This window comes from Homo sapiens, chromosome 2, assembly GCF_000001405.40.
Source record: "Homo sapiens chromosome 2, GRCh38.p14 Primary Assembly".
NCBI classification, from domain to species: domain Eukaryota; kingdom Metazoa; phylum Chordata; class Mammalia; order Primates; family Hominidae; genus Homo; species Homo sapiens.
Window position 1 is genome coordinate 230,374,087 of NC_000002.12, and position 27,279 is coordinate 230,401,365.

Below are 27,279 nucleotides of genomic sequence, written 5' to 3' on the forward strand. Positions count from 1 at the left end.
GGGCAGATCACCTGACATCAGAAGTTCAAGACCAGCCTGGCCAATATGGTGAAACCCTGTCTCTACTAAAAATACAAAAATTAGCTGGGCGTGGTGGCTTGTGCTTGTAGTCCCAGTTAGTTAGGAGGCTGAGGCAGGAGAATCGCTTGAACCCGGGAGGCAGAGGTTGCACTGAGCAGAGGTTGCACCACTGCACTCCAGCCTGGGCAATAGAGTAAGACTCCATCTCAAAAAAAAAAAAAAAGATGTGGAGCCTGATGATGTGACTGAATCGCTGTGATCTCATGATAAAACTGAGTGATAAGGAGTTGTTTATTATGGATGATTAAAGAAAGTGGTTTCTTGAGATGGAATCTGCTCCTGGGAAAGATGCTGTGAACATTGTTGAAATGACAACAAAGGATTTAGAATATATTAGTTGATAAAGCAGCAGCAGGTTTTGAGAGAATCTACTGTGGTAAAATGCTATCAATAGCTTTACATGTTACAGAGAAATCTTTCATGAAGTCCATCAACACAGCAAACTTCTTTACTGTCTTATTTTAAGAAATTGTCACAGCCACCTCAACATTTATCAACCACCACCATGATCAGTCAGCAGCCATCCACACCCAGGCAAGACCCTTTACCAGCAAAGAAATTATGATTTTCTGAAGGCTCAAATGATTGTGAGCATTTTTTGAGCTATAAAGTATTTTTAATTAAGGTATGCCCATTGATTTTTTAAGACATAATGCTATTGAATACTTAATAGACTACAGTATAGTATAAACATAATTTTCATATGCACTGGGAAACCAAAAAAATTGTGTCTTGCTTTATTGCAATATTCACTTCATTGCAGTGTTCTGAAACCAAACGTGCAATATTTCTAAGATATACCTATATGTTTTATCCCAAAGATGTTTGAAATTTTTATCTGATCAAATCTGTCAGTCTTTTCATTTATGGTTTCCAGGTTTTGTGTACAATTTACAAATATATTATCCTCCTCATAATTTGAAAACATTTTTACTTGCTTGTAGAATATTTGAAATACTTTTTAATGTTTAAATCTATAACACACATAGAATTCATTTATTGGTGTATGATGTGAGATGATAATTAAGAGATATAACCCCAATACTTTTTTCTTCTTGATTTGAAACATGATTTTATATATATTTTCCAATATACACAGATCTGTGTCTTATCACATTTCTTTATCCATTCATCTGTTGATGGAGACTTAGGTTGTTTCTATGTCTTAACTACTGTGAATTATGCTGCAATGAACATGGGGGTGCAGATATCTCTTTGGTTTCATTTCCTTTGGATACATACCCCCAAATTAGATTTCTGAATGGCATGTTTTTCTATTTTTAATTTTTGGAGAAACCTCCATACTCTTTTCTGTAATGGCTGTACCAATTTACATTCCCACTTACAGCATACAGGGGTTCCTTTTCTCCACACCCTCACCTATACTTGTTATCTCTTGCCTTTTTGATAATAGCTATCCTAATAGGTGTGAGGTGATATTTCATTATAGTTTTGAGTTACATTTCTCTCATGGATGGTTAGTGATATTGAGTGCTTTTTTATAACCCATTGGCTATTTATATGTCTTCTTTGGGAAAAAGTTTATTCAGATCCTTTGCCCATTTTTAAATTAGGTTATGACATGATTTTGTTTTGTTTTTTGCTATTGAGTTATGTGAGTTCCTTATATATTCTGGGCAATAACCCTTATCAAATACATGGTTTGCAAATATTTTCTCCTATTCCATAGGTTGCCTTTTCATTTTTAAAATTATTTCCTTTGCTGTACAAATCTTTTAGTTTGATGCAGTTCCACTTGCTTATTTCTGCGTTTGTTGCCTGTGTTTCTGGTGTCTTATCTAAAAGATAATTGCCCAGACCAAAATCGAGGAGTTTTTCCCTGTTTTCTTCTTTGAATTTTATGGTTTCATGTTTGACATTTAAGCCTTTAATCTATTTGGAGTTAATTGTTGTATATGATGCAAGCCAAATATCTCATTTCATTATTTTGCTTGTGGATATTCAGTTTTCTTAGCACCACTTATTGAAGAGGCTATCCTTTCTCCATTATTTATTCTTGGCACCCTTGTCAAGATTAAGTGCCCCTTCTTGACATTTGTATTTATCACACTGCTGGAAGTCCTAGTCAGAGCAATTAGGCAAGAAAAAAAAGTCATCCAAATTGGAAAGAAGTTAAAATGTCTCTGTTTCCAGGTGACATTATCTTCTACGTAGAAAACCCTATAGACTCCACCAAAAAACTGTTGGAACTAATAAATGAATTCAGTAAAGTTGCAAGATTTAAAGATCAGTTGTGTTTCTACACACTAACAATGAACTATCCAAAAAGAAATTAAGAAAATAATCCCATTTACAATAGCAACAAAAAGAATAAAATGGGAACAAATTTAACCAGAGGTGAAATATTTGCACACTGACAACTATGACACTGATGAAAGAAATTGAAAAAGATGCAAATAAATGGAAAGACATATCCTGTTCATAAACTGGAAGAATATTGTTAAAATGTTCATACCATCCAAAGTGATCTGGATAGTCAATGAAATCTCTATCAAAATTTCAATGACATTTTTCACAGAAATAGGAAAAAGGAATCCTAAAATTTGTATAGAACCATAAAGACCCAAATACTAAAAGTAATCTTGAAAAAAAGGAACAAACCTGGAGGCATCACACCGTATGATTTTAAACTATATTACAAAGCAAGAGTAATCAAAACAGTGCTGGCATAAAAACACACATAAACCAATGGAATAGAATAGGGAACCCGGAAATAAACTCATGAATGTATGTTCAAGTAATCTTTGATAAGGGCACCAACAATAGGATTTTCTTTATGTAAATGTTCCACATTTTCATTTTTCTTATCTGCTTTATAGAGCTATATATAAAACAAATTCATCACCTTAAGGTATAACTGAATTTGTTTTAACAAATGTGTGCAGTTATATAAATACCTCCACTATCATGATATGTATCATTTCCATCACCCCAAAGTCCACTTGTGTTCTTCTCAGCTGTCTCTGATTCTTGACAACAGCTGATCTGTTTTCTGTTCGTTTGTCTTTTAAGAAATGAGGCCTCACTACGTTGTCCAGGATGGCCTCAAACTCCTGAGCAAGTGATCCTCATGCCTCAGATTCCAGAGTAAATGGGAATACAGGCATGTACAACTCACCAACCCAGGTTGTTTTTTTTAAATGCTGATCTGTTTACATCACTCTAGTTTTGCCGTTTCTGGAGTTTCATATAAATGAATTCATACAGTATTGAATTTACTTATGTTTAGCCCCTGTCAATTAACATAATGCTTTTGAGATACATCCATGTTATTGTGTGTGTTCATAGTTACTCTGTTTTTCATCGCTGAGAAGTATTTCTTTATATGAATACATTACAGATAGTTTATTCACCTGTTGATAGGCATTGAGGTGTTTCCAGTTTCAGCTATTACAAATAAAGCTGACAGGAACATCTGAACACAAATCTTTGGGTTGGGCATGTTTTATTTTGGGGAGTGAATGCCCAGGAGTGGTGCTATTGGGTCATATGAACATACATGTATGTTCAGTATTTTGAGATTCTGCCAAAATGTTTTTCAAAATGATTATGCCCTCTTGCATTCCCACCAGTAATGTGTGAAGCTTCTCATTGCTCCACATACTCACCAATACTTGATAGTGTTAGTAAAACTTTAATTTTTTTATAAAGTCTACATTTACCATTTTTCCTTTATAATCTGTGATTTTGAGGTCCTATTTAAGGAATCTTTTCCTAACTCAAGAACCTATGTTTTCTTCAAGTTTTTGGTGTTAGCGCTTATTGAGATCTATAACCCATTTTGAGTTAGTTTTTGCATATAGTTTGAGCTAAAGATTGATTTCTTTTCTTTTTTTGCATGTGGATACTCAATCATTCCATCATAATTTGTTGAAAAAAGTATCCTTTCTGCATTGAATTAGTTACTTTGACGTCCTTGTTGAAAGTCAGTTGGCCATATATGTTTAGGTCTATTACTTGACTTTTTTTCTGTTCCATTTATCTGTATGTCTATTCTTATGCCAATACACCATCTTGATTACTACAGTTTTACAAATCCTGAAATCAGGTAGTGTAAGACCTCCAGTTTTGTTTTTCAGAATTGTTTTGGCTATTTCAGACCCGTGCATTTTGAAGATTCTTCTATCTTGCAGCTCAGCTACTGTCAAGATTACATCATTGTCCAAGGTGCCTGCTAAGCTCCAGCCACAATGTCCATGTTCTAGGCAGTCAGAAGGAGAAAGGGTGAAGAGCAAAATTATCTTCCCCAGAGGCCTATTACTTTTGCGAGAAGTTTTCTCCGGAACTCCCCTCCTCCCACAATATTCTGCTCTCATCTTAGTGGTCAGATCTTAAACTGGTGGCCATGTCAGGTGTGAGAGAGGTTATGAACTGTGGTTTTTCTCTGGAAATATCGATGTCTGCAGTCTTGGAGGTATTCTTTTAGTTGATCAGGAGTGGAAAGTAGATATGTGGAAAACAATATGAATTGACTTCGCCAATTATTTAAAATGTGTTAAATGTTCCTTTGCATCCTAATGTGTGGTCATTATTTGTAAATGTTCTATGCCACTTGAGAATAATGTACATTTGAGCTATTTGTTAGGCTCTGGCTTCACTCCATGCATATCTTTATAAAGCAAAACTTTGTTGTTTAAATATGGGTTCATAGTAATTTATTTCCTCCATCAAATTTGTATAGAAACTTGTTAAATTCTCACACAAGGTTGTATATTTGCCAATTCCTCCTTATTTTGTTCATTTTCTTTAAATATGTTGAGACCATTAATGACTTTATAACCTCTTAGTGGATTTCTTTTCTTTTATCATTATACAGCATTCTGCTTTATCCATATTGGTGCTTTTGCCTTAAAATCTCTTTTACCAAGTGCTAATGTTGTTATATAAACTTTTTTTTCATATTTTTCACTCAATTTATGTTAAGCCATCTTGTGCAGCTTTGTTTTATGTCTCTTGTAACAGCACTTAGCTTTTGCAATTTTATCTGATAATCTTAGCTTTTTAATGAATTTTTATTTGTTTTCATTTATTATGATTCCAGATGTATATGGACCTGTATCTTCTGTGGTAGTGTTGACCATTCTTAATTTGTGTTTTTTTGTGTGTCTCTTTCCTGATTTCTGATGGATTGATATAAAATTCTATATTCTCCCTTTTCCCCCTGCTGGTTTGGAAATTAAAGACAAAATTTCTGTAATCTTATTAATCATGCCCCAAACCCCAGAGATGACAAGGATCTTGTAATGGTTTCACTACAAATTGAATACCCCATCTCTACCATTTGGCTATTATTGTTTAATATTTAATTTTTAACTATAAATTTTGAAACTATTATTTTTACAGTTGATATTTACTTAAATCAATTTTTTAAATCATTTTATGTACTCACCATTGTTCTTTTTCTTTGGTTTCACTTTTTGTCTAGCTGAAGTGAATTCTTTAGTTTTTCTAGTGAGTGATCTCTAAGTGGTAAATTCTCTAAGTGTTGTATGTACAAATTTGTCTTTCTTTTGATAGAAATTTTTAGCTAAGTTAAAAATTTTAGGTTGATATTTATTTATTCTCAGTATAGTAAAGTGATTACTACATTGTCTTCTGGAATCTATGGTATGGCTAATAAAAATCATTCTTTTATTGTAACTATAACTTTTTGGTAAATATTCTGTCCTTTCTCTCTAAAAGCTTTTTTCCCCAATTTTTAATCATGAAAATTTCAAGCATGCAGAAGTCTTGGGAGAATTGTATACTAAACATCAATATACTTTCACACAGATTCACAAATAACATTGTATCATTCCTGCTTTATCGCTTTTCTATCTGTATTAGCCCATTTTTACACTGCTGATAAAAACATACCCAAGACTGGGTAATTTGTAAGGAAAAAGAATACAGGTTTAATTAACTCACAGTACCATGTGACTGGGGAGGCTTCACAATCATGGCAGAAGGTGAAAGGCACGTCTTACATGGCAGCAGGCAAAGACAGAGTGAAAAACAAGTGAAAGGGGTTTCCTTTATAAAACCATCAGATCTCGTGAGACTTGTTCACTACCATGAGAACAGTACAGGGGAAACTGCCCCCCGATTCAATTTTATCTCCCACTGGGTCCCTCCCACATGAGAATAAGGGAGCTACAATTCAGGATGAGATTTGAGTAGGGACACAGACAAACCATGTCACTATCCATATATACATTTTTTTATCCGCTCAATAACTCATGGTCAAGTTTGAAACATTTCAGGGTTGCAGACATCAGTACCCTTCCCCCTCAAATACTTCTGCATGCATTCTTTTTTTAAGATAAAATTTACAATGAAATGCACAAGTATTAAGAGTACCATTGGATGAGTTCTTACAACCACACTTTTCTGCACCATCGAAATCTTTATCAAGATACAGAACATGATCATCACCCTGGAAAGGTTCCTTATATCCTTTCTGGTATATCTCCACCCACTACCTATCAGGGCAATCACTACTCTTTGTTTTTCCATGATAACTTAATTTGGGTTTTTAAAAAACTTTATATAAATAAGGTTTTACAGCGTGTTCTCTTTATTGTGAGATTTATTTCACTCAGCATGTTTTTGAGATTCATTCATATCATTGGATGTATCAGTAATTTGTTTGTTTTCATTGCTAGTGTCCATTGTCTGAATATACTGAATTTTGTTTATAATTCTCCTGATGAACGTCACCTCAAGTATTTTCAGTTTTTTGCTATTAGGAAAACTCTCCTCAGCACATTCTTGTAGAAGTCTTCCTGTTTTTTCATATCTCTTATCTAAATACCTAGGAGCAAAATTGCTGGGATATAGAGTAGACGCATCAGTTCTTTCCCCTCAAGACCCAAGAAAAGGATGGTGCAGAGGAAGCCCAGGTGGATGGTGCACTCACAAGTGTGTGCTGCAGTGGAGGAATGCTTCACTGAGGAAACCCATGGGGTTTGCTAGCTAGGCGACTGCTAGCAAACCTGCCCAAACCTTACCTCCGAGGGAGATATTATCTTTTTAGCTGGAACGTAAGCAACTCACCTCTGGGGATATTAAGCAAATCTCTCCTGGGGACATCTCCTCTGGAAAATTTCTAAGGAGGGAGATGTTCTCCACTTTATACTGGTCAGGGAATAAATTTGCCCTATAATCTGGAGGCTACATGATCTCTAGCTTCCAAGGCTGCTTGCTATTCTGACATCCTTGAAGCAATACCCTGATACCGTGAGTACAGAAATGCCATGGAGAATAGCTTCTCAACAAATTCTTCCCACATTTTTGCTTCTGGCAAATTTCCTCATGAAGACACTACCCCATCAGCCACTCTGATTAATTTGACCCATGGGTCCAGATATATTTGATTTGTTAAATGTTGTAGGAACAAATTGCAAATGTAGGTGCAGTGGCTCACTCATGTTATCTCAGCACTTTGGGAGACCAAGGCAGAAGGATCACTTGAGGCCAGGAGTCCAAAAACAAGCAAAACAACCAAAACAAGCCTGGGCAAGATAGTGGGACCCTGTCTCTCTACACACACACACACACACACACACACACACACACACACACACACACACATTTCATAAACCGTGAATGCTTTAGGTCTTTAGGTCCCTTATGACCAGCTGACCACCTCTAAGGTACAAGTCACTTTATGTGAGGCAAGCAAGTTAATGCCTGGCTTTCATACAATAAGCACAATCCCCAGAGCACACAAGGTGTTCGAAGAAGGGAAGTGTTTACAATTGTTGAGCTTCCCTGAGTGGGATGTACATTTGTCAGGGGGAAGGTGAACAGTGCCTCCTCCTACATGGCTCCTGGCTGTCTGTAAGCCTTGGGGTTCCCAGTTCTGTTCGTTGTGTCCAGTCCTTGATTTGTTTGTGTGTGTGGCTGGGGAGAGGTGGGCATGTGAGGGGACTGCTTGAGGACAGTCTGTCCAATCTATCCTCTTTGTCCATGACACCAACCAGGTAACAGTCACCCCCCCACCCACCCCAACAAATGACTGAGAACAGGGGTAGGGACAATGTCTAGAGGGTTCTATGTGGGACCTCAGAAGCTGGGCCCAGCCCCTGCCGTCTCATGCCTGGTGCGGAGAGGCTGACTCAGCATTCTCAGAGGTGGGAGCACTGGAGCAGGGTGTTTTCCTTCTGGACAAAGGATCCAGGGTAGTTCTGAGAGACAGATATCACCAATGCTCCTGCTTCCTCCATACCTCCTAGGGTTGGAGGTGTTCCTGCCTTAGATCTCTGGATTTTTGCTCTTGCTTCACTGCTGCAAAATCTGTCTGTACCATTCTGGTGGCTGTACCTTCATCTTTTTCTCCTAATTGTCTCTTTTCTCACTTAGATCTTCCATCCACAAAATTAGATACAAGTAGAGCAAAAGCATTTTCATTAGCTGTGTCTGGAGTGAAATCTGAATCCCCTGGGCACTCAGAAGGCTGTGCCTACCAGGCTGATGGGGAAAGAATGAGGCATCATCCCTAGGAATGACCAGGGTCACAACAGAATCCTGAATTTTCAAGATAGGTCTACAGAACACTTGCAATCCCCACCACTTTTGTCCTGGTCACTATCCGGGAAGGAGATGATCCCTTTCTGGGGACTGCTCCCTTCAGTGAGCCTACTGCCCTCCCATAGTGTGCAGACAGGAGGAGATGAGGGACGTCAGAAAATCAGTGCATTGTGGAGTCACTTTTCTGATAAAGGGCACATCAGACTGCAAATGGTCCAGACAGCCAGATTCAGGACACTGATGAGTTTCTGGGGTCACCATAGCATCCCTGGAGTCAGCTGCTCTGCAGCCTGAAGGAGGGCTGACAGTGTGGAGTCACTGCTATTACTTAATGAAATTATATAGAAATTCTATAATGATTATGTAATTGCATAATGAAAACTCTCCATATCAGAGTTCAGAATATCTCCCAATTTCCAGTACAGAATATTATCCATAACACCATCAACCTCAAGGAGGATGTCCTCTCATTGCACATGTGAATTTACACAACAAACACTTGAAAAAGCAACATGAAATAGCAGTTATCATTCACTTTAAGGTGCCAGCAAGAGTTAATTTTCCATTAAAAATGTTGTTTCAAAGGAAGGTCATCTCTTATAGTCTCTCCCAAGCCCATGGCCCAAGGCTCATGCAGAATTAAAATAGGACTCTGTACTCAACTTCCACACTGCTACACTGATCATAAAGAATTTTGCCCCATTCCTGTGGACCAAAGTATGAAAAAATCTTGTATACTACTAGCATATAAAGCTCAAATAATTATATTTATTCCTCTGTATAATTAACTTTATTCTCTTTGGTTTGAAGGAAAAAAGAAGGGGCATGGCTGGAGCAGAATGGGAACGAGAACGCAGAAAAACAACCAACAAAATGGTAAGCAGGCAAAGTGAAGTAGTTACAGCTTTTGAGTTTATTAAGGCGCTGTCCATTGTATTCTGGAAGGCCTGCAGTTCACGAGGGCCAGGAGAGTTCTGTACTTCCTGTATCCGTTAGGATGTAGACCAACAGGCTGTGACAAAGAGGCCTGAGAATGCAATGGCTTCAACAAAATGGTTTCTAATGCATGTAATAGTCCAGAGGCCCACAGTTAATAGGGAGGTCTTATCATCCTCAGTATGACTTTCTTCAGTAGCTCAAGAAATTTTTATTAATTTGGAAAAATGTTCTTAAGAGGGTTAAGTGAAGAAAGCAAGGTGTATGTGTATGTGTGTGCAACTGTAAAATATATATATACATATATATAACCATATTTTATGTGAAATATTTATACTTGTGAAAGTATGTTTTTATGTATCTATCAATCCTTACATAGATATATGCAATTATTTATCTGTGTGTATGAAGAGATATAAAGCTATAGAAAAATCAGTGGCTGTTCATTTATAAAGATATATGCAGTGGTTACATTTAGTCAGTATAATAGAGGTGATGTTTATATTTTTATTTGTGGTATTTAAGTATATGTGTTGTATTAAAATTTTAAAAATCTTCAACTTTTATAATGAAAAAATGGTCTTTAAAAGGCAACATATGCAAAAAGAAAAGCCTAGGAGAATATTTGTTAACAAATCACCATCTGGAGACAGCCATCCTCATCTGTGGCTATCTCTAGATGATGATGTTTTAGACCATTTTATTTTCTGAATTTTCCATAATTATATATGTTATTTATTTTAGTCATGGTCTAAGGATTTCCTTTCTCCTAGTCAATGAAGGCTGTCTTATTTTCCAAATGATGCTCAGTTTTGAATCAGTGGATCTGTATAGTAAGATTTTAGAGTCCTATTGAAAATTGTTTCTTTTCACCAATCATCTATCTTCTGCTCTTCTGTTCTTGCCAGTTTAAGTGTCTGCCCGGCTTGTGGATGTACATTTGTGTTTGGAAAGAAAAACAAGTGGTTGCATTTATTTTAAGAATGGGTGTTTTTGGCCGGGCATGGTGGCTCATGCCTGTAACCCCAACACTTTGGGAGGCTGAGGCGGATGGATCACTTGAGGTTGGAGTTCGAGAACAGCCTGGTCAACATAGTGAAACCCTGTCTCTACTTAAAATACAAAATTTCGCTGGATGTGGTGGCGGGCGCCTATAATCCCAGCTACTCGGGAGGCTGAGGCAGGAGAATCACTTGAACCCAAAAGGCAGAGGTTGCAGCAAGTCAAAATTGTGCCACTGCACTCCAGTCTGGGAGGCAGAGAAACACTCTGTCTTTAAAAAACAAAACAAACAAACAAAAAACAAGAATGGGTGTTTTCAAATTAAAAAATTATTTGGACTGAGTCATTATAACATTTTCATTTAAGTCTGTGTGTATTATCCTAACACATTCTAAGAGACTTCAATGTACGGTTAAATTCTGTGTGTAATTTAGAAGTCAACACTCCCCAAAGCAGAAAATGCTCTGGACACCTGCTCGAGGGGATCCAGAGTGAAACCCAGGACTCCCTCACTTGCGTTTGGTCCAGCCTGTGAGCTGTTGTTCTGCCCAGTTCTATTAATACATTTTCCCTTGCCTATCCCCAGATAACAGCAAAGCCGATGGCCAGCTGGTCTCGAGTGAAAAGAAGGCGAACATGAATCTGAAAGACCTTTCCAAGATTAGGGGTAAGATAAAGTTGGTACCACTTTTCATTTGCCCTGCAGGTCAATGCACATGTTGAGGTTTTGAGGAGCCTAGAAGCTTTATTGTTTACTAGTCAAACTTAGTCAATTTCAGAGCAGTGAAATCTAAAAAACAGCAAACCCATTAGAAGCCAGAGTTGTAAGTTGATTGTATTCATATCATAGATCTTATCTGTCCAAGTTCTAAAGTTGTTTTCCTCTGTGTTTTATCTGATTTTCCTGGGAATTCCTTTGCCTTAAATCATTGGCTAATTAAAATGGCTGGACCTGGTAAATTGTAAGCAGAATACAGGTTTATTTTCCCACTGCCCTTTGAAGTCCTCCTCCTAGATAAGTTATTTCTTGTCCTGAGCAAGCCCTATCGCTTTCCTGTTCCCTTTTCACAACAATAAGAGTCTCATTTCAGTAATTGAGAGTCTTTCTGACCAAGTATTAAAACTCCAATGTCCTCCCCAGTTTAAAGCACCTTCCCTCCTTCAGCCTGGGCAAGCCTTAGTCTGGAACACATATAGTTGGGGGGTGACATGGCCAGTGTCTTCTCTTATTCTGTCTTGGCCCTACCCCCACTCCATAGCTGTTGGCTTGGTCCCATCCAGGATTGGGGAGGTGAGAGAAAGGGGTGAGATCAGAGTGTGGAAGTGTCTTGCCTGACAGGTGCAGCCGTGAAATGACATTGCAAGTGGTTGATGCACAATCACTAGCTCTTTCTTCCGTGAGATGCTTTCATCAAGTCCACTGCAAGGGAAGGGGAGGGGTCAGGCATCACAGCTTGACTTATTTTGAAAGAAATAGAGCTTTTCTTCTACAACCTGGGTGTGAGTGAAGGGCTGAACCTGGCATAATCAGTTCCACCAACTCTTTCTATGGTCCCATAGGTGGACTGGTGCATTGTCCTAGGATGCGGGTGCTTGGAACTTGGGTAATCAACTCAACCTACTTGCTTGGGACTTTCTCAATTTTGCCAGTGAAACTCTCATGTCCTGGGCACCCCCTTAGTCCTGGACAGACCAGGACAATTGGTCATTCTACTTGGTACTTATTGGATTGTTCCCAACCATTGGGACTTGAAGTGAAATTTTGAGAAAACAGGAGGAAATTGAAAACTCTGTCACACTTCTTTCTAGAGGTTAATACCAACCATAACAATTATTTTAAAACAACTTTAAATTATATTCTGACCACCATAGTATTTATTAAGGTTTATGTTAGGGTTTCAGTATTGTTAAATGGGTATTACAGCCTGAGACACAATAATATTTGAATCCTGCCTTGCTCAGCCACTTGATTCTGAGAGTAAAACACAGTAGTGCTGTATTATGAATTTGCTGGATTTAAGCTCCAGTTTGTTCTGTACCAAAACCTCCATAGACTAGAGTAGACTTCATGTTGTTTCTTTTTTCTCCCTAAAAATATGAGGCCTAAACAGATTTAATGAAAGCTAAATCCGACATACCCACTAGTCCCAGAAAAGATGTAACCAGACAGAAACAGCTAGAGAGAAAGGAAGAAATAACTCTGTATTAGCTGGACTGTTCAAGGTTGTGGCCAGAGCTCTAGTGCCAAGCCTGGCTGGAATATAGGAGGGAAAAGAGCAGCAAGGATATGACATCTGGATCTATTCTCACTGTACGGTGAGTGCGGACCCTCAGGAGAGGAGGGAGGGGTGAAGCATTGAAGAGGAGAGACCTGGAGATGTCCTGGACTTCCAGAGTCCACTTGGCATCTTGCGTGGGAGAGGAGGGGAGGAGAGCTTCTCAGAGAGCCACACCTGTGTGGCTGATGTTCTATTGCCTGGAAACCTCATCTTCCAGAGGCAGGCAGCAAGATGGAGCAAAAAGATTAACATGCGTCTTGGAGAACCACAGTTCCACCTCTTTAGTAGTTTTTCTTAGCCCTTGGCTGTTACTATACAAGCCTCCTACCTCCCTATACAAGTTTATTAAACTCTTCTAAAGCTCTTCTTTGAGTGCCTGTTATCTTGGTTAAATATTAACAGGATGACAACTTGCAAATTTGAAACTTGTTTGATCTTGGGATAAGATGTCTGTAATTATCAATATTGGTTCCTTGGGCCATTTGGGTCTTAAATGGGTAAAAACCTGGTCAGTAACTGTGTAGTCTAAAGACCAGAAAGTGGAATTATATTACCAAGCCATAGGTCTACTTTGGGTCCGATTGGTCCTTTCTACTTTGCTGGCCTAATATGCTCATAATATGCTTAGAGTTTAGAGCACTTAGGAATAAGTAGGTTGGAAAATATTTTTCCATGGGGCCTACATGACCCTGACCAGCATCCCTAGATGGTGGTCATTGGATGGTGGACATCCAGCACAAGGAGGAAGGAACATTTTGCTTTCCTGCTTTGGAAAATAAAACACATTTGAACATTAGTAAACATTGAGATGCCCACTCACAGCCAATTAACATGCACTTGGGAGAACGTCGTCGGCTGCAGTGTCTGCCATGTCAATCCTTAATTACTATTTGGAATGAAGGCTGTGGAAGTCTCAATTCTACCCATTCCTCATGGTTAACCTTCTTCTGATTAGTTTCTTAGATCCTAATATTTATTTTTTCCAAAGCCATGTGAACGAAGCCCTGGTCACATTTACTATTACTTTCAGCACAAGGGTACAAATATCTTCCCCCAATGTGATATGTGCAGCATACATCTCACCTATGGAGCACCTAATAGGGTTTCCCTTAACTCACAGAACTGCCATTTATTTGTGTCTCTGCTAAGAGAAACCCAAACACCTTCACTTAATTTTGTAGTTTTGTCTCAATTTTCTCTGAATATTTTAGTCTCTGTAATGACAGTAATCATCATTTTGATCTTGCAAAGATTAAATTAGTGGATGTGTGTTTAACATATATTATATGCCATATATATATTTCAAATATATATTTGAAATGAAATATGAAATGAAACTTCAAAATATGAAATGAACCTTCAAAATATGGAATGAAGTATTTATACTGTTGTTTGAGTTATATGTGAAATACTGATTTCAATTAGTTTTTTTCTAATGTAAGAATAGGAAAATGAAATATAAAGTGAACCTAACATTAGCTATCTAATTCTTCATACCTTAAAGGCTAGGGTTTAAATCTTTTTATTTATATATTAAACAGGCTTTTGGAAAGTTACATTTAAATGGAATTTTTGAAAAGCAGCAATATATGTAACACAGCTGCTCATTTGTAACTGTGATTTTATTATTCTACTTTCTCAGGGAGAAAGAGAGGCAAACCTGGAACCCACTTTACTCAGAGTGACAGAGCTCCACAGAAAAGAGTCCGATCAAGAGGTAAAAAAGAAAAGAGGAATGCACTTTCAATAACTAAACATCTAATTTCCTGTGCTTTATGCTGTATTTTCAGTAATAAACCTATTTCTTTAATTGTTTTATGAAGCTATACTAACTATTGAAAAACATATCTTATTAAGTCATTTTCCAAAATGTATCAAGGAAAGAAGGAAGTAAGTTGGTGATGGATCTACAACCAGACCCTGGGGCCCCAGGGGGTCACTAAAGTGCTACTTCCACTGAAATGATAAATTTCAAGGCTGAAGATAGGCCATTGCTGTATAAAGGGTATAACCCGTAAGTGATTTAGCTGATCTTCCTCTGGCTACACAGAAAGCCACATGTTGCACACTAAGGTTGAACCAGAGTTGTGGTTAGAGATCTGTGTCCTAAGGCTTTTTGGCTTTTTAAAAAATCTTTGACTGTGTGATCTTGTGCTGACCACTTGGCCTTCTTTGCCTTGGTTTCCTCATCTGAGAAGCTAGAGGATGAATTAGGCCAACCACCCTTCTTATTAGTCCATCCCAGTCTAAATAGTGTGCCCTTTTCAAAACCAGTCTCAGGACCAAAGACCGCTTCCCCTGCCCATCATGGCCTCTACACCTCTGTTTGGAAGGGCAGGATTAGCTGCTCATCCTCCTGGAGTTTTTCTTTGAAAAACTTTCACACCTACTTCTGTAGTATCCGGTTCTCAGTTCCCCACCCCCTGCTAGGTACAATTTTCAGATTATTCTAGAGCTCCCTGAGCTCCTTTCTCAGCTGTGGAGAAAGCTGATAGGAGGGGAAAATGGAGCAAAGCAGAGAATAAAAGTAGAAGGCAGGTGCTGTCTCCATTAGGTTATCTCATCATTAGCCTCTCCCTCCTTGACCAGTCAGTGCCCAAATGGGAGACTGATTATGGTCTCTGGCTTCATCTCTGGCTACCTAACTGCAGCAAAACAGAATAGCTGGAGAGCGCCCATCAAACCAATGACAACAACTGTATGTTTCATTGTCATATAAGAATCAGTGGAGCTTACTACACTGGAAGTTAAAACAGTTTTACTGAAGTCTAATTTCTCTGATAAAGCATTCAATTTTCTGTGAAATTTGAAAGGTGAAATTGGGGCACACATTCTGTAGTTACCGATCAAAAATGCCACTTGGAAGAAAGACTTTGAAACTCTAGAGATTTATGGAATAGAATTTCCTAAGTACTCTTTGTGCCTTTATAGGATTTACCTCAGTGGGAAGGGGGGATGTGCCTTTGCAAAGTGAGACAGAATGAAGAAATCCTCTCTTTCAGCTTCAAGAAAGCACAAAGATGAAACTGTGGATTTTCAGGCTCCTTTACTTCCAGTGACCTGTGGTGGGGTGAAGGGAATTTTACATAAGGAGAAATTGGAACAAGGTGGGTTTCATAGTCTTCTTTAATTTGCAGCTCCTATCTGAAGGCATCACAAGAAGTGGTGAAATTATTTGTGTGAATTACACATCATTCAAGGAGTTTTGGGCCCAGTTTAGCTTGAGGGAAGGAGGAAGGGATCCCTAAGATGACATTTTAAGACTTTAAGAAATCACACCCATTAGACGCTGACTCGCACATGGAGTGTCCAGGGGGTACCCAAAGAACAAAAGAGAAGGCAGGAACGTCAATTCACAGATGGAAAATGTCAGGTATTTTACTTTGAATCAGACAGAAAAGGGAAGAGGCCCTCAACCTCAAGCTTCATATTCTCTCTCCCTTCTGGAGTGCTGTCACCAAGGCAGGGTGCTTGGCTTGGGTGATGATCACAGGTTTTAACATTAGGAAGCCTGAGTTCCAGCCTTGGCTGTGCCAGGAATGACTGTTCCATTCTGAGTAGAGAAGGGGACCTTTCTGAATGTGAAATCTCTCATCCAAGAGAGGGAACAATAATTAAAAACCTACCTCATGATGTAGCTGTGAGAATTAATTTACATATTAATGTAAAATATTTTACGATTGAAAATTATAAAACTGTCAAAAATGTCTATCAGAATGGCCTTCATCTCAGACCTCTCTTAACTTGGCTCTTTGAGCACCAATTAATATAAACATTTTCATTGTGACTTTTTTTAACAGCTTAACTGAAATACAGTTCATGTATCATGTAACTCACCACTTAGAGTATACCAATCAATGATTTTTTTTGTATTTTCACAGGATTGTACAGCCATTATTATCACCTAATTTTAGAACAATTTGTCCTTCACTAAAGAAAACCCCATGTCAATTAGTAGTCAATGCCCATTCCCACCTCACCCCAATGCCCAGCCCTAAGCAGCTGCTAATCTATTTTCTGCTCTATAAATTTGCTTATTCTAGGCATTTTCTGCAAATGGAATCCTATCATACATCCCCTTTCATGACTGGCTGCTTTTAATCAGCATGATGTTTTCAAAGTTCATTCATATTGTATTAGTACTTCATTTCTTTTCTTGATAAATCATATATTTCATTGTATAGATATACCACATTTTGTTTATCCATTCATCAACTTGGGTTATTTTCACTCTTTGGCTGTTATAAATAATGCTGTTTTGAACATTTATGTAACAAATTTGGTGTGAACATATTTCAGCTCTTTGGAGTGTATATTCAAGAAAGGAATTGCTGAGTCAAATGGTAATTCTATTCTTAACTTATTGAGGAAACACCAAAGTGTTTTCCACAGTAGCTGCACTATTCTATATTCCCACCAGAAATGTATGAAGGCTCCCATTTCTCTACACACTCACCAACACTTGTTATTGTTTGTCTTTTTTATTATGATCATCCTAGTGAGTGTGATGTGGTATCTCATTGTGGTTTTGCTTTGCATTTCCCTAATGGCTGATGGGGTTGACTATCTTTTATATATAACTTAATTTTTCTATTAGGTAACATTTCACAATTATTTTTTAATATCAGCTGCCCATGATTGCACAGATGAGAAAATCTCTGTTCAATAATGCCCTAAAACTGAATGAAAAATGTTGTAATAGAAGGTGCATATGTTGCCAGTGTGGCCTCCTGAGCCACAGGGCACCTATCTCAGACTGTACCCCTAAGTAAGGATTCTGCCTCCACATTGCCTCCAGAGCCATCTGCAGACTCAGGCCTGGTCTCTACTCCCAGAATTCAACAGCAAGTTGGAGTCCTCTCATCTTTCAGAATCACTTGCTTTTCCTTCTGTAAGTGCTTTTGAAATGCTTAAAAGGTTGCTCTTGCTGATAACCATCACTCTCCTCATGGGTGAAGGTCAAAGACATGTGCACCCCCACCAGGAAATATACTTAGAGGGGACTTTCAGGCTGGATTTGGGGCCTCTGAAGTCTGAGAGGGAAGGCCAGACCCTCCTGCTATTGATCTTCATCACAAATTGGGTGGCTCTAGATCCAATGTGGTGAGTGGCCACAGTCTGAGCGCTGGGAACAAAGAGGGCTCAGGATCAAGTTACCCTGGTCTTACAGGAACCTTGGCAAAGTGTATACAGACTGAGGATGGAAAATGGTTCACCCCCATGGAATTTGAAATCAAAGGAGGCTACGCAAGATCAAAGAACTGGAGGCTGAGTGTGCGCTGTGGCGGGTGGCCCCTACGACGGCTGATGGAGGTATTCCAATGACAAGAGGCCAGACCTGTGCCCATTCTTCTTGTTCCCTAATAATGAGGAGACTGTTTATTCACCAAATATTTGTTAGGTTATAGCTAAAGCCTTGATGCCAGTGAGTTTATCCTCTCACTCAGGAGAGAGGGACCCCATATCCATAACCACACTACAGTGCAACACACTGATGTTGTACCAGGGGCTCCATCAGGATAGACTCAGCAGCTTGGAGGAGGAAAGGGTAATTCTGACTAGGGTGCATGTGGACAATTTTGTGCACTGAGAAAAAGAAGAGAGTCGATAGTCAAGCAGGGCAAGAAGACACTTCAGAGAAAGAATGACCTGAAAACCAGAATGGCATGAAAACAAGAACCATAGTAAAAATATTAACAGCTCTGTGGATTTAGGTAGATGGGTTGTGTACAATAAGGCACAATTCAGCAACTGGGGTTGTCTGTGGAGCACTTTAATGCCGGGCTAAGTAATTCAAATCTGTAATTGATAGCAACAATCAGTGAAATCTTCTGAGATTGGAAATGACATTTAAAACAGTATTTTAGACAGCAATGGGGCTTTGAAATGCCTTCACTGTCTCCCCTGCTAGCAAACCTATACTCAGTCTAGAATGCTTAGCTCAAATGTTACCCTCTTCCTTAAATATTCACTGACCTATAGCCATGGGTCCTCCCTTCCCAGGGTTCCTGAGCCCCTACTAATGCCCTTTTTTCACTATTTATATTTATCCTTCTGTGAGTGCTTTTTGTCTGCAGACCCCTTTAGGTTTTCCCATCTTCATGTACCCAAGATTGATCAGAGTGACTGACACCCAGTAGCATGCAATAAGTGTGTGCTGCTTGGATAGCTCTGGTGTAGGAACTCCAGCTGGAGTGGCACTGGTGCAACTGGAAAAGAAGTGATAGATGGTATGAGATTATGAATGAAAACCTCTTAGGACTTAGGAAAGAAGCACAAGAGAAGGGAAAATGGTCCTGAAAATGATTTTCTGGCTTCTATTGATTGGAGTCTAGAAGCACAGGTGAAGACAGGGAGATGGTTTCTCATTCAGACACACTGGGTTTGAGCTGGCATTGGAACACTCAGGTAGAAGTATTTGGGAAGAGGTTGGAAATGCCAGACTCACAAAACAGAAACGCAGGCTGACTATGTACCTTGGTCTTTTTATCTTTCAGGAAGGATCTCTACCTAATCCTCCAAGAATATATTACAGGAACAAAAAGGTGATTATTACATAATTTTCTACAGATTCTTGTCACACAACAGATTTAACATGTACAACATCTTATTTTATGGAGTCTCCAATTGGGTAACTATAATTAAGCTTTCACCTTCTCCACTTCCCACATATAAATTTTTTTAATATACACTTTCAGAGTTACTACTTTGAATACTTTGTGTATATAAAGCTAGGTCCTCTTTGGATTAAACCGTATCAGATGGAGATGCTGAGGAGCCCTCAAAACAAACCTCCTGAATGTGTTTCAGCAATAGATACAGATGTTGTAAGAGTGTCAAAGTTGGAAAATCCAACACGGTCATGGAATACATAAAAATATTTCATAATAAGGTGAGAGTATCATCTCCAACTCAAAATCAGATTTTTTTCATTGATGTTATTATTTTCTAACTTTTGTGAAATTGATAGAGCAAACGTCTCCTCACAGTCACTTGAGACATGTATGAAACCATATATCATTTCATGAAATAGGTAATAAAAATAATATTTCTTTTCTGATCTTTCACATCCTCTTTCACCTTCCAAAAAAATGTACACACAGATACACAGAATTCTTTCTCAATGGGAAATTATTTACCTTTGTCAAGATGGTGCCATTGGGGAGGAAGATCTCCAGAGGCAAACGTATTTTACAGGAGGAGCTGACCAGGAAAATCTTTTATGTTGATGCCACCTCTTTGGTTCTACCAGAGGGACTGTGCAGACCTGCTTTTTATCTGTGAAAGTGATTTTTCCTTCACTTAAGAACGCAACAAACAAATAGGTTAAGTGCAGTGTAGATTCAGGACAAGGTGATGGTTTTTCGAAGACTGGGTGTGAATGAGAACCTGAGGAGGGGAAAGAGAAAAATGTCATCCTTATGCACTTCAGGTAGAAATATGCATTCAAGACATTCACAGACTTCTAAAACAGCTCACACATAGCTAGCCACTAAGCTTCATATTCCACTGGGAACCTGAGATCCAGGCCTTTACATTATCTGATATACTGGCTGATTTGAATTCTCAGCCACTGAGACATTTCATCCACTGGGTTTCCCGAAGGGAAACTATGATGTCACCTATTCAGTGAGTACACTAAAGACCAGCAACTCTACCTTTCCCCAGGTGCCAAGAGTAACTCAGCCTGGGTGACCCAAATGAGCTGGCAATTTCCAACCAACCGACTCTCCCTCTATTCAGGGGTGCAACACTTAGCAGCAACAAGCTACAGTTGCCTCTATATGTTATGTCTCCTCATGGGGAGAACAGAGGTCCCCCGAGTGGCAGATCCAGGATCCATTATGAACTCCATGGGTCCTCTGTGCCTCTCAGAGCTTCTCTTCCTTGCAGAGCCACTTGGCTTCTGGAAACTTCAGTGTCACTATCAGTGCCACATGATAATGTCTCTGCTCAGGCTCATGACAAGGGCCACATAAACCTTTTGGTGGTAGCTGCGGTGTTGTAAAACAATCTGATACACTCACCCAGAATAATCGTTGTGTGCTAATGCTTGCTTAAGAGACTCCAGTAATTTTTTTTTTTGAGACGGAGTTTCACTCTTGTCATTCAGACTGGAGTGCGGTGGAGCAATCTCAGCCTCGCAGGTTCAAGCAATTCTCCTGCCTCAGCCTCCCAAGTGGCTGGGATTACAGGTGCCTGTCACCACACCTGGCTAATTATTTGTATTTTTAGTAGAGACAGGGTTTTGCCATGTTGGACAGGCTGGTCTTGAACTCTTGAAACAATATTCATTTATTCACCCATTGAACATATACTTATCAAGCATATACTAAATTCCAATGGCATTACAGAAGATTGACCTCAAAAATCATTTCAAGCCAGGCATGGTGACTAGAGCCTATAATGCCAGCATTTTGAGAGGCTGAGATGGGAGGATGACTTGAGCTCAGGAATTTGAGACCAACCTGGACACATCGTGAGATATCATCTCTACCAAAAAAAAATAGAAAAATACCCAGGCATTGTGGTGCATACCTGTAGTCCCACCTACTCAGGAGGCTGAGGTGGGAGGATCACTCAAGCCTGGGAGGTCGAGGCTATAGTGAGCTGTGATTTTATCATGGCATTCTAGCCTGGGTGACAGAGTGAAACCCTGTCTCAAAAAAAAGAAAAAAAAATTGTTTCAATTTTATTGTAAACATGGATGAATTACAAATGGGTGGAGTAGGAGATTTAGGCTAGTCAGAGACGCACTCAGTGACAAGGTCACCTCTCAGGTGCTTGTGCTTTAGATCACACTTGTTTATAGCCCTGTGCCCTGGGCTACAGACAAAAGCTGAGGCTGCCTGTATCCCAGAAGGGAAAGGTGCCAACTCCTGCAATGGATATCCAAAAGCAATCTAAATAAATCTAGTGGGTTACCTCTTAAAAGACAGTCAACCTGACATCTTGTGATTTGGATAGAAGGGAGAGCAGGAGACTCTCAGGAAGAAGAGCTGCAGCACAGAGGACCTTGGAGTCATTTTATCACCAGGGCTGTGTCCCTAGGGGAGCTGCAGAAAGCAGTGCTCTTCTCTGGGACACTTTCATGGCCTCCAGGACTCTGGGCCCTGTGGTCCCTGTAGGCTGTGGGGGATAAATTCTCAGCCTGATTATTATTGCAACTCCTCTGGGTGGGATGACACAAAGGCCAAGTTTAGGAAATATGCCTGAGGGCCCCTTGGAGTAAGAGGACAAGTAGAGCTTCTCTGACTTGGCCTGGGCAAACTAGGTCCAGACTCCCTGCAGGGAATGGGACTTGCATTGGGCTGAACAGTAGTACTTGGGCACTTTTTCTTCCCTCAGTAGATATATAGGTCCAAAAAATCAGATATGAGGTAAAGGGAAGACTGTTTAAAAAAATAAAACTTTAGACAAAATAAATTTAATAGCATTTATTGGAGCAAAGAGCAATTCATGAATTGGGCAGCACTCAGAACAAGAAGAGGTTCAGAGAGCTATGCTGTAGCAGCCCAGATGGTGAGGCCAACACAGGAGTAAGACAGAGAAATTATATTTAATGGATTATCATGGAAAGATGCTAATTAGAGGTAGATGACGGATTCCAGTTGGTAAATTCTCTAGTTTCATTTTACTGTTTACATCAGGTTTCAGTTTGCTTACATAGGAAATTAAAGCACTGGAGCCACCCCAGCCTACTGGCCTTCATCTCCTCCCAATTATTTTTTTACAACTGGTTCCTGAATCCCTTCAAAGATGACTATTTAAATTTAAGTAAGTGATAGATGGAAACAATGCATTCAATATCATAAATCAATCTTTCTGTTTTTTCAACAGAGAATACTGAAGTCTCAAAACAATAGCTCAGTTGACCCTTGTGTAAGTATAAATTCTGAACTACAACCCCCAGAATATTCCACTTCTTTCTCCAGGCATATGTTCTGTGTCATGACTGCTGTTGCCTGAAGCATGTTCAGTCTCAGTTGGAGTATGTGGCTGTGTGAATTCAGTTGCATCACCCAAGCCAGGTAGATGTGCTTGGGCCTTGGATGTCTTGCAGTGTGAAAGCACTCTTTCCATCTGTTTCAGTGGAAACCCTCCAATATCCTTACTTCCTTATTCCCTTGGGTAGTGAGTATGGGAGGCTGAGCTCTAGACCACTGAGGTCTCTTGAAACAGAGCTTGAAGTGGTAATGGATAGGGCTGGCCTGGTGATTAAGGGGAAGGAGTAAATGTGAGAGGATAACAGCATTCTCAAGTAAGGGGTATGGATGAAAGGGAAAATCCCAAAAATGCACTCCAAGGTGCAGGTGGAGCGAAGATGGTCTTAAGCATCAGCCAGAAGGAACAGACCAGGCCAAGCTATTATGTTTAAGGTGTGGAGCCTGTCATTAGTCCTGTAAAGGAGTACATACAGGACAAGAGGTCCTTTACAGAGCCCCTATCACCAGTCTCAGGGAAGCCATTAGGGTGCTGAGCTGGTTAGGACTGAAACCATCACGACCTAGCAAATCCTGAGGCATTTTAACTCAACTGCTTATCTGGTGCTCAGTACTATGCAAACTTTCTGATCCCCTGGGCCCCATCCATTCTCTGCTTGCTATATGACTGCCTGCTTTGGGTTCTGCTGAAATCATGGATGAGTTCTTTCTTTAAATGAAATTCTGGTTTGCTCCTTTTCATTGCAGTGAGATGCCAATTTTAGGCAAGGTCACCTTCTTGCACAACTCCAGGGGGCAGGACTCACATAGAATATCATGCAATAGCACTGACACATAATAGTTAGCAGAGGAGGGATGCTCAAATAGTTTTATACACACCTTACCTCCAAAGCAGTCCTCCAATCAGATTTAGGTCTTTTCCACACTGATTTTGATGCCCGGCCAACTCAGGGACTCACGAATGGTTAAAACAGCCCTGGAGGTCAGTGTTTGCGTGGCTGATTTTGTATGAGCTTGACATGGAGGTTTATGTCTCACAGCCCACAGCCAGATGTCTGTGGGAAAAAGAGGAAAACAGATCCAGCAAAGGTATGGTCACCCCTATTAATAATTTTTCCAAGGCCAATAAGAACATTGATTTATAATATCCCCATGCTTCCATAACCAGACTTTGCTCAGGCTGAGTCTCAAATTATCTTGCATCTTGGAGTCACCTGAAGAGCTTTAAAAAATATTGTTGCCTGGATCCCACTTTAGGGAAATTCTAAATTAATCAATCTGGACTATGTATGACTTGAACATTAGGATTTTTTCAAGGTCCCCAGATGATGCTGATACATAGAATTGCCTATTCTGTCACCTAAAGAAGAATACCAGTGCCTGTGCCTCAACCCTGACCCAGTGATTCAGAATCTCTGGTGTTGGGTTCAGGACATTAGCATTTTATATACTCTCCTGAGATGAGTCTAATGTACAGCCAGGCCAACAACTAAAGAACCAGAGAAATCAAATCTCTTCTTGAAAAGATATAAGTTTGGAGAAAAAAAAGGGCAGATAAGAGGCAGGACTAACTTCCACCTCCAACTCAGACAGAACAGCGTGTTGAGACTCAATTGTGAACATTTGCTACAAGAACCACCACAGGAACATTCCAGCAAAACAAGGAATTCACAGACCCTTTGAAAGAAGTGGCTTGCCACTGCAAACTCTGTGAGACAGCCAAAAAACTGTGAGTTCTCAAAGTGTGAGAGGGAAAAAGTCCACCTCTGAACGTGTATCCTCACTGGGGAACCTGAAAATCCAGATCACGGGAGAAGGATTTCACCTAAGCTAGAGCTGAAATGAATTTAGAGAGCTGGGCAAAATATAAAAGTAGAAGTAGCAGCAGAAAGAGCCCTGTAGGCACTCCACATAGGGCCACATGGGGGCTGCGCTCAGGAACAGAGGAAACAGCCAGTGGCTGTGGAGGGTGGGCTGTCCCCGGCTTCCAGAGGGAGAGTGTGATTGGCTTGTTTGAATAATTCCATGGCTGGCAGGGAAATGAAATCAGCTATTCAAAAATAAGCAGAAGGTGCAAGCGGTCCTCTTGATCAGAAGTGTTGGTAGGAAACCTTATCTGCAGGAGCAGAGCCGGCGGAGGACTTGTAGATAGACCATTCTAGGCCTTCCCAGTGTTACCAGATGTCCAGGCTGCACGTAATATTGAACTCTAATTTTAGTCCTTACAGCACTTTTCCCTTGAACGGCAAAGGGCTCTGTCACAGACCGGTTCTTTGTCATGAATACACTTGCATTTGTCTACAATACAGCATATAATGTATTGGTCTCTATATTTGCTCTATAAATTCTGTTGGTTTTTAATGACTGGGATTTGTTCCACAACACATGGATGCAAATACTATCATATTTTAATTTCCCCAAATGAAATTAAATCTTGCTAAAGGTCTCACATATTGAGACTTGTGAGAAATGGAGAATTCATTGATTTACCATTCCTTTTATAGAACAAAGCACCAGCTCTTTTATGGGCCCAGGAAATGAGGAGAGGGTCTCCATCTTCAACACTGTATGGTACTGTTACCATGGTCCTTGGTCATTAGAGATGACACCTTTGCACCTTACAATCCAAATTAGCTAAGTCATGGGAGATCTTCTGCCAGGATCCCAGAGCCGAAGAGCTCTGTGCTCCCTGTGGCCCACCTGGTCATGTGTACTCATGGTCCTTCCCCCTCAAAGGTAGGTGCACAGCCCTCTAGGCACAAAACCTACAGCCTAGGAACCCCTAACTAGGCCCTGTCTTCAACTCATGGGGAACTTATGGCCAAGAATATGGGATGTGATGATATCTTAGAAGGTTATTCCATCATATGTAATTCTCTGGGTCTCCCTTTCATGAGTTGATTTGTAGTATAGACAAATGGATTTAACACTTTACTTCAAAACCTGGTTTTATCTGCAGCATAATACAATTATTCAGATTCCTATAAGATCATCCTCTTGCTTTGTTGCTAGGCTTTCTGTGTCATAATCTCTGGTTTTATAAGGAAAACGTTTTTATTCTGACATATACCCCTTCCTCCTGAACTTCACTGCAGACCAGGATTTGTTCTGAAATCTCCATGCCATATTTTTCCTTCATATCCCAGGGAGAAGCATATGCCTGTCTATACAGGCTCACACATAAGCAGTGTGTTCTAGATGCCCAGAGGGGTGGCCTTCCTGAATCTTGTGATTCCCAGTGACGTGGACACTGTTTTACCTTCTAGATGAGAAACTTGGATGAGTGTGAGGTGTGCCGGGACGGAGGGGAGCTGTTCTGTTGCGACACTTGTTCAAGAGTCTTCCATGAGGACTGCCACATCCCACCTGTGGAAAGTGAGAAGTAAGTGACATGCAGGCACCTCTCTTTCATCCTTTAAGGGACCTTCCACCTGCCATGCGCACTCTCCAGCAGAATGTCTGCTTGTGTCTAGATGGGGAAGGAGCAGGTTCATCGGGTACTGGGACCCAGCAGTGTGATCCAGAGAGCAGTGGGAGACGCTGGCAGCAGGAGGTAAATGCTCTCTGTGCTCTCAGGGACACCTCCTCTGATATGCTGAGGCCAGTGTTGGGGACCTTTGCCTACATACTGGTATTGTCCTTTCCTTGAAGTTTTGCAGTAGGGTCTCCTGTCCCAGGGGGTTGAGGAAAAAAAACACCAGTTGTTTATATTTTGTGCTTATTCATACAAGACAGGAAGCACGGTCTTAGGCGGATGGAGGCCTGACGTCCCTGGAGTTGAAAGCCCAGTTTCTGACACACAGGCCTGGCAGGCAGGACTCCTTGTGCTCCCAGCAGCTCAGACAGGGAAAGGATAGTCCCCACTCACGGTGACACCACCTTCCTGAGGCTTCCCTCCTGCTGCTACCACTGATGCGAGGGAAAGGCCAGTGGCTGGAGACCCCATGTGCAGTTCTTGGATACTCTGGGAGGTGTTCCCCTCCCTCCCATGACTGAGCCCATCAGCCATTCCTGAAGGAAGACAGTGGTAGCCACAGGAACGGTGGCCATTTCCAAGCTCCCTGCCCTCTGCTCACCCATGTCCAATCTCTCAGGACCCCGTGGAATTGCATCTTCTGCAGGATGAAGGAGTCTCCGGGAAGCCAACAGTGTTGTCAGGAATCTGAGGTCCTGGAGAGGCAGATGTGTCCTGAGGAACAGTTGGTAAATCAGATGCAAACCCCAAGCCTTCTCCTTTCCCCTCACACGTGAGAACCATGAACAAGCGCAAGGGCAGGGGAATGTACTGAAAGGAGCCTGCTCTTCCGCGCCACACTTCAATGGCACTGATAGAACACCACACCTTGTTTGCACAAAAAATAACTCAGCCATGACATGTCTGTTTCCAAGAGCCACACATGTTAGAGAAACTTGAGGAAGAAGGGTGTGAGTCGTGTGCTGTGTCTCATGCATGTGGGCTCATTCTCTCCAAGCTGCTTTTCATTTACGGCCTCTTTCTTTTGCAG

At 40.3% G+C, this 27,279-nt stretch overlaps 1 protein-coding gene and 1 long non-coding RNA gene across 24 annotated transcripts in view; one reads left to right on the top strand and one right to left on the bottom strand.

The window, feature by feature from the left end:
• Positions 1-27,279, top strand: part of SP140L (SP140 nuclear body protein like) — a 76,540-nt gene that overhangs the window by 46,894 nt on the left and 2,367 nt on the right. For 4 of the 21 annotated variants that reach the window (XM_047446413.1, NM_001352893.2, XM_047446415.1 and 1 more), the window contains 8 exons: positions 9,424-9,489; positions 11,138-11,218; positions 14,473-14,547; positions 18,001-18,143; positions 19,328-19,375; positions 22,671-22,712; positions 26,041-26,156; positions 26,869-26,977. In XM_047446413.1, coding sequence (XP_047302369.1) covers positions 9,424-9,489; positions 11,138-11,218; positions 14,473-14,547; positions 18,001-18,143; positions 19,328-19,375; positions 22,671-22,712; positions 26,041-26,156; positions 26,869-26,977 — 680 coding nt within the window. Of the gene's footprint in view, positions 1-9,423; positions 9,490-11,137; positions 11,219-14,472; positions 18,144-19,327; positions 19,376-22,670; positions 22,713-26,040; positions 26,161-26,228; positions 26,328-26,868; positions 27,274-27,279 lie in introns of those variants that run through there. The other 17 variants (XM_047446412.1, NM_001352892.2, XM_047446414.1 and 14 more) reach the window with 12 other exon arrangements.
• Positions 20,063-26,950, bottom strand: LOC105373925 (uncharacterized). Of its 3 annotated transcripts, none has more exons than XR_001739922.2 (4): positions 26,851-26,937; positions 26,034-26,140; positions 23,659-23,829; positions 20,063-20,219 (listed from the first exon to the last, which is right to left on the bottom strand). It is a non-coding gene; the product is annotated as an uncharacterized LOC105373925 (long non-coding RNA). The 3 variants fall into 3 exon arrangements; XR_001739924.2 differs by having other exon boundaries at positions 20,146-20,219; positions 23,654-23,829; positions 26,851-26,950; XR_001739921.2 differs by lacking the exon at positions 20,063-20,219 and having other exon boundaries at positions 23,570-23,829.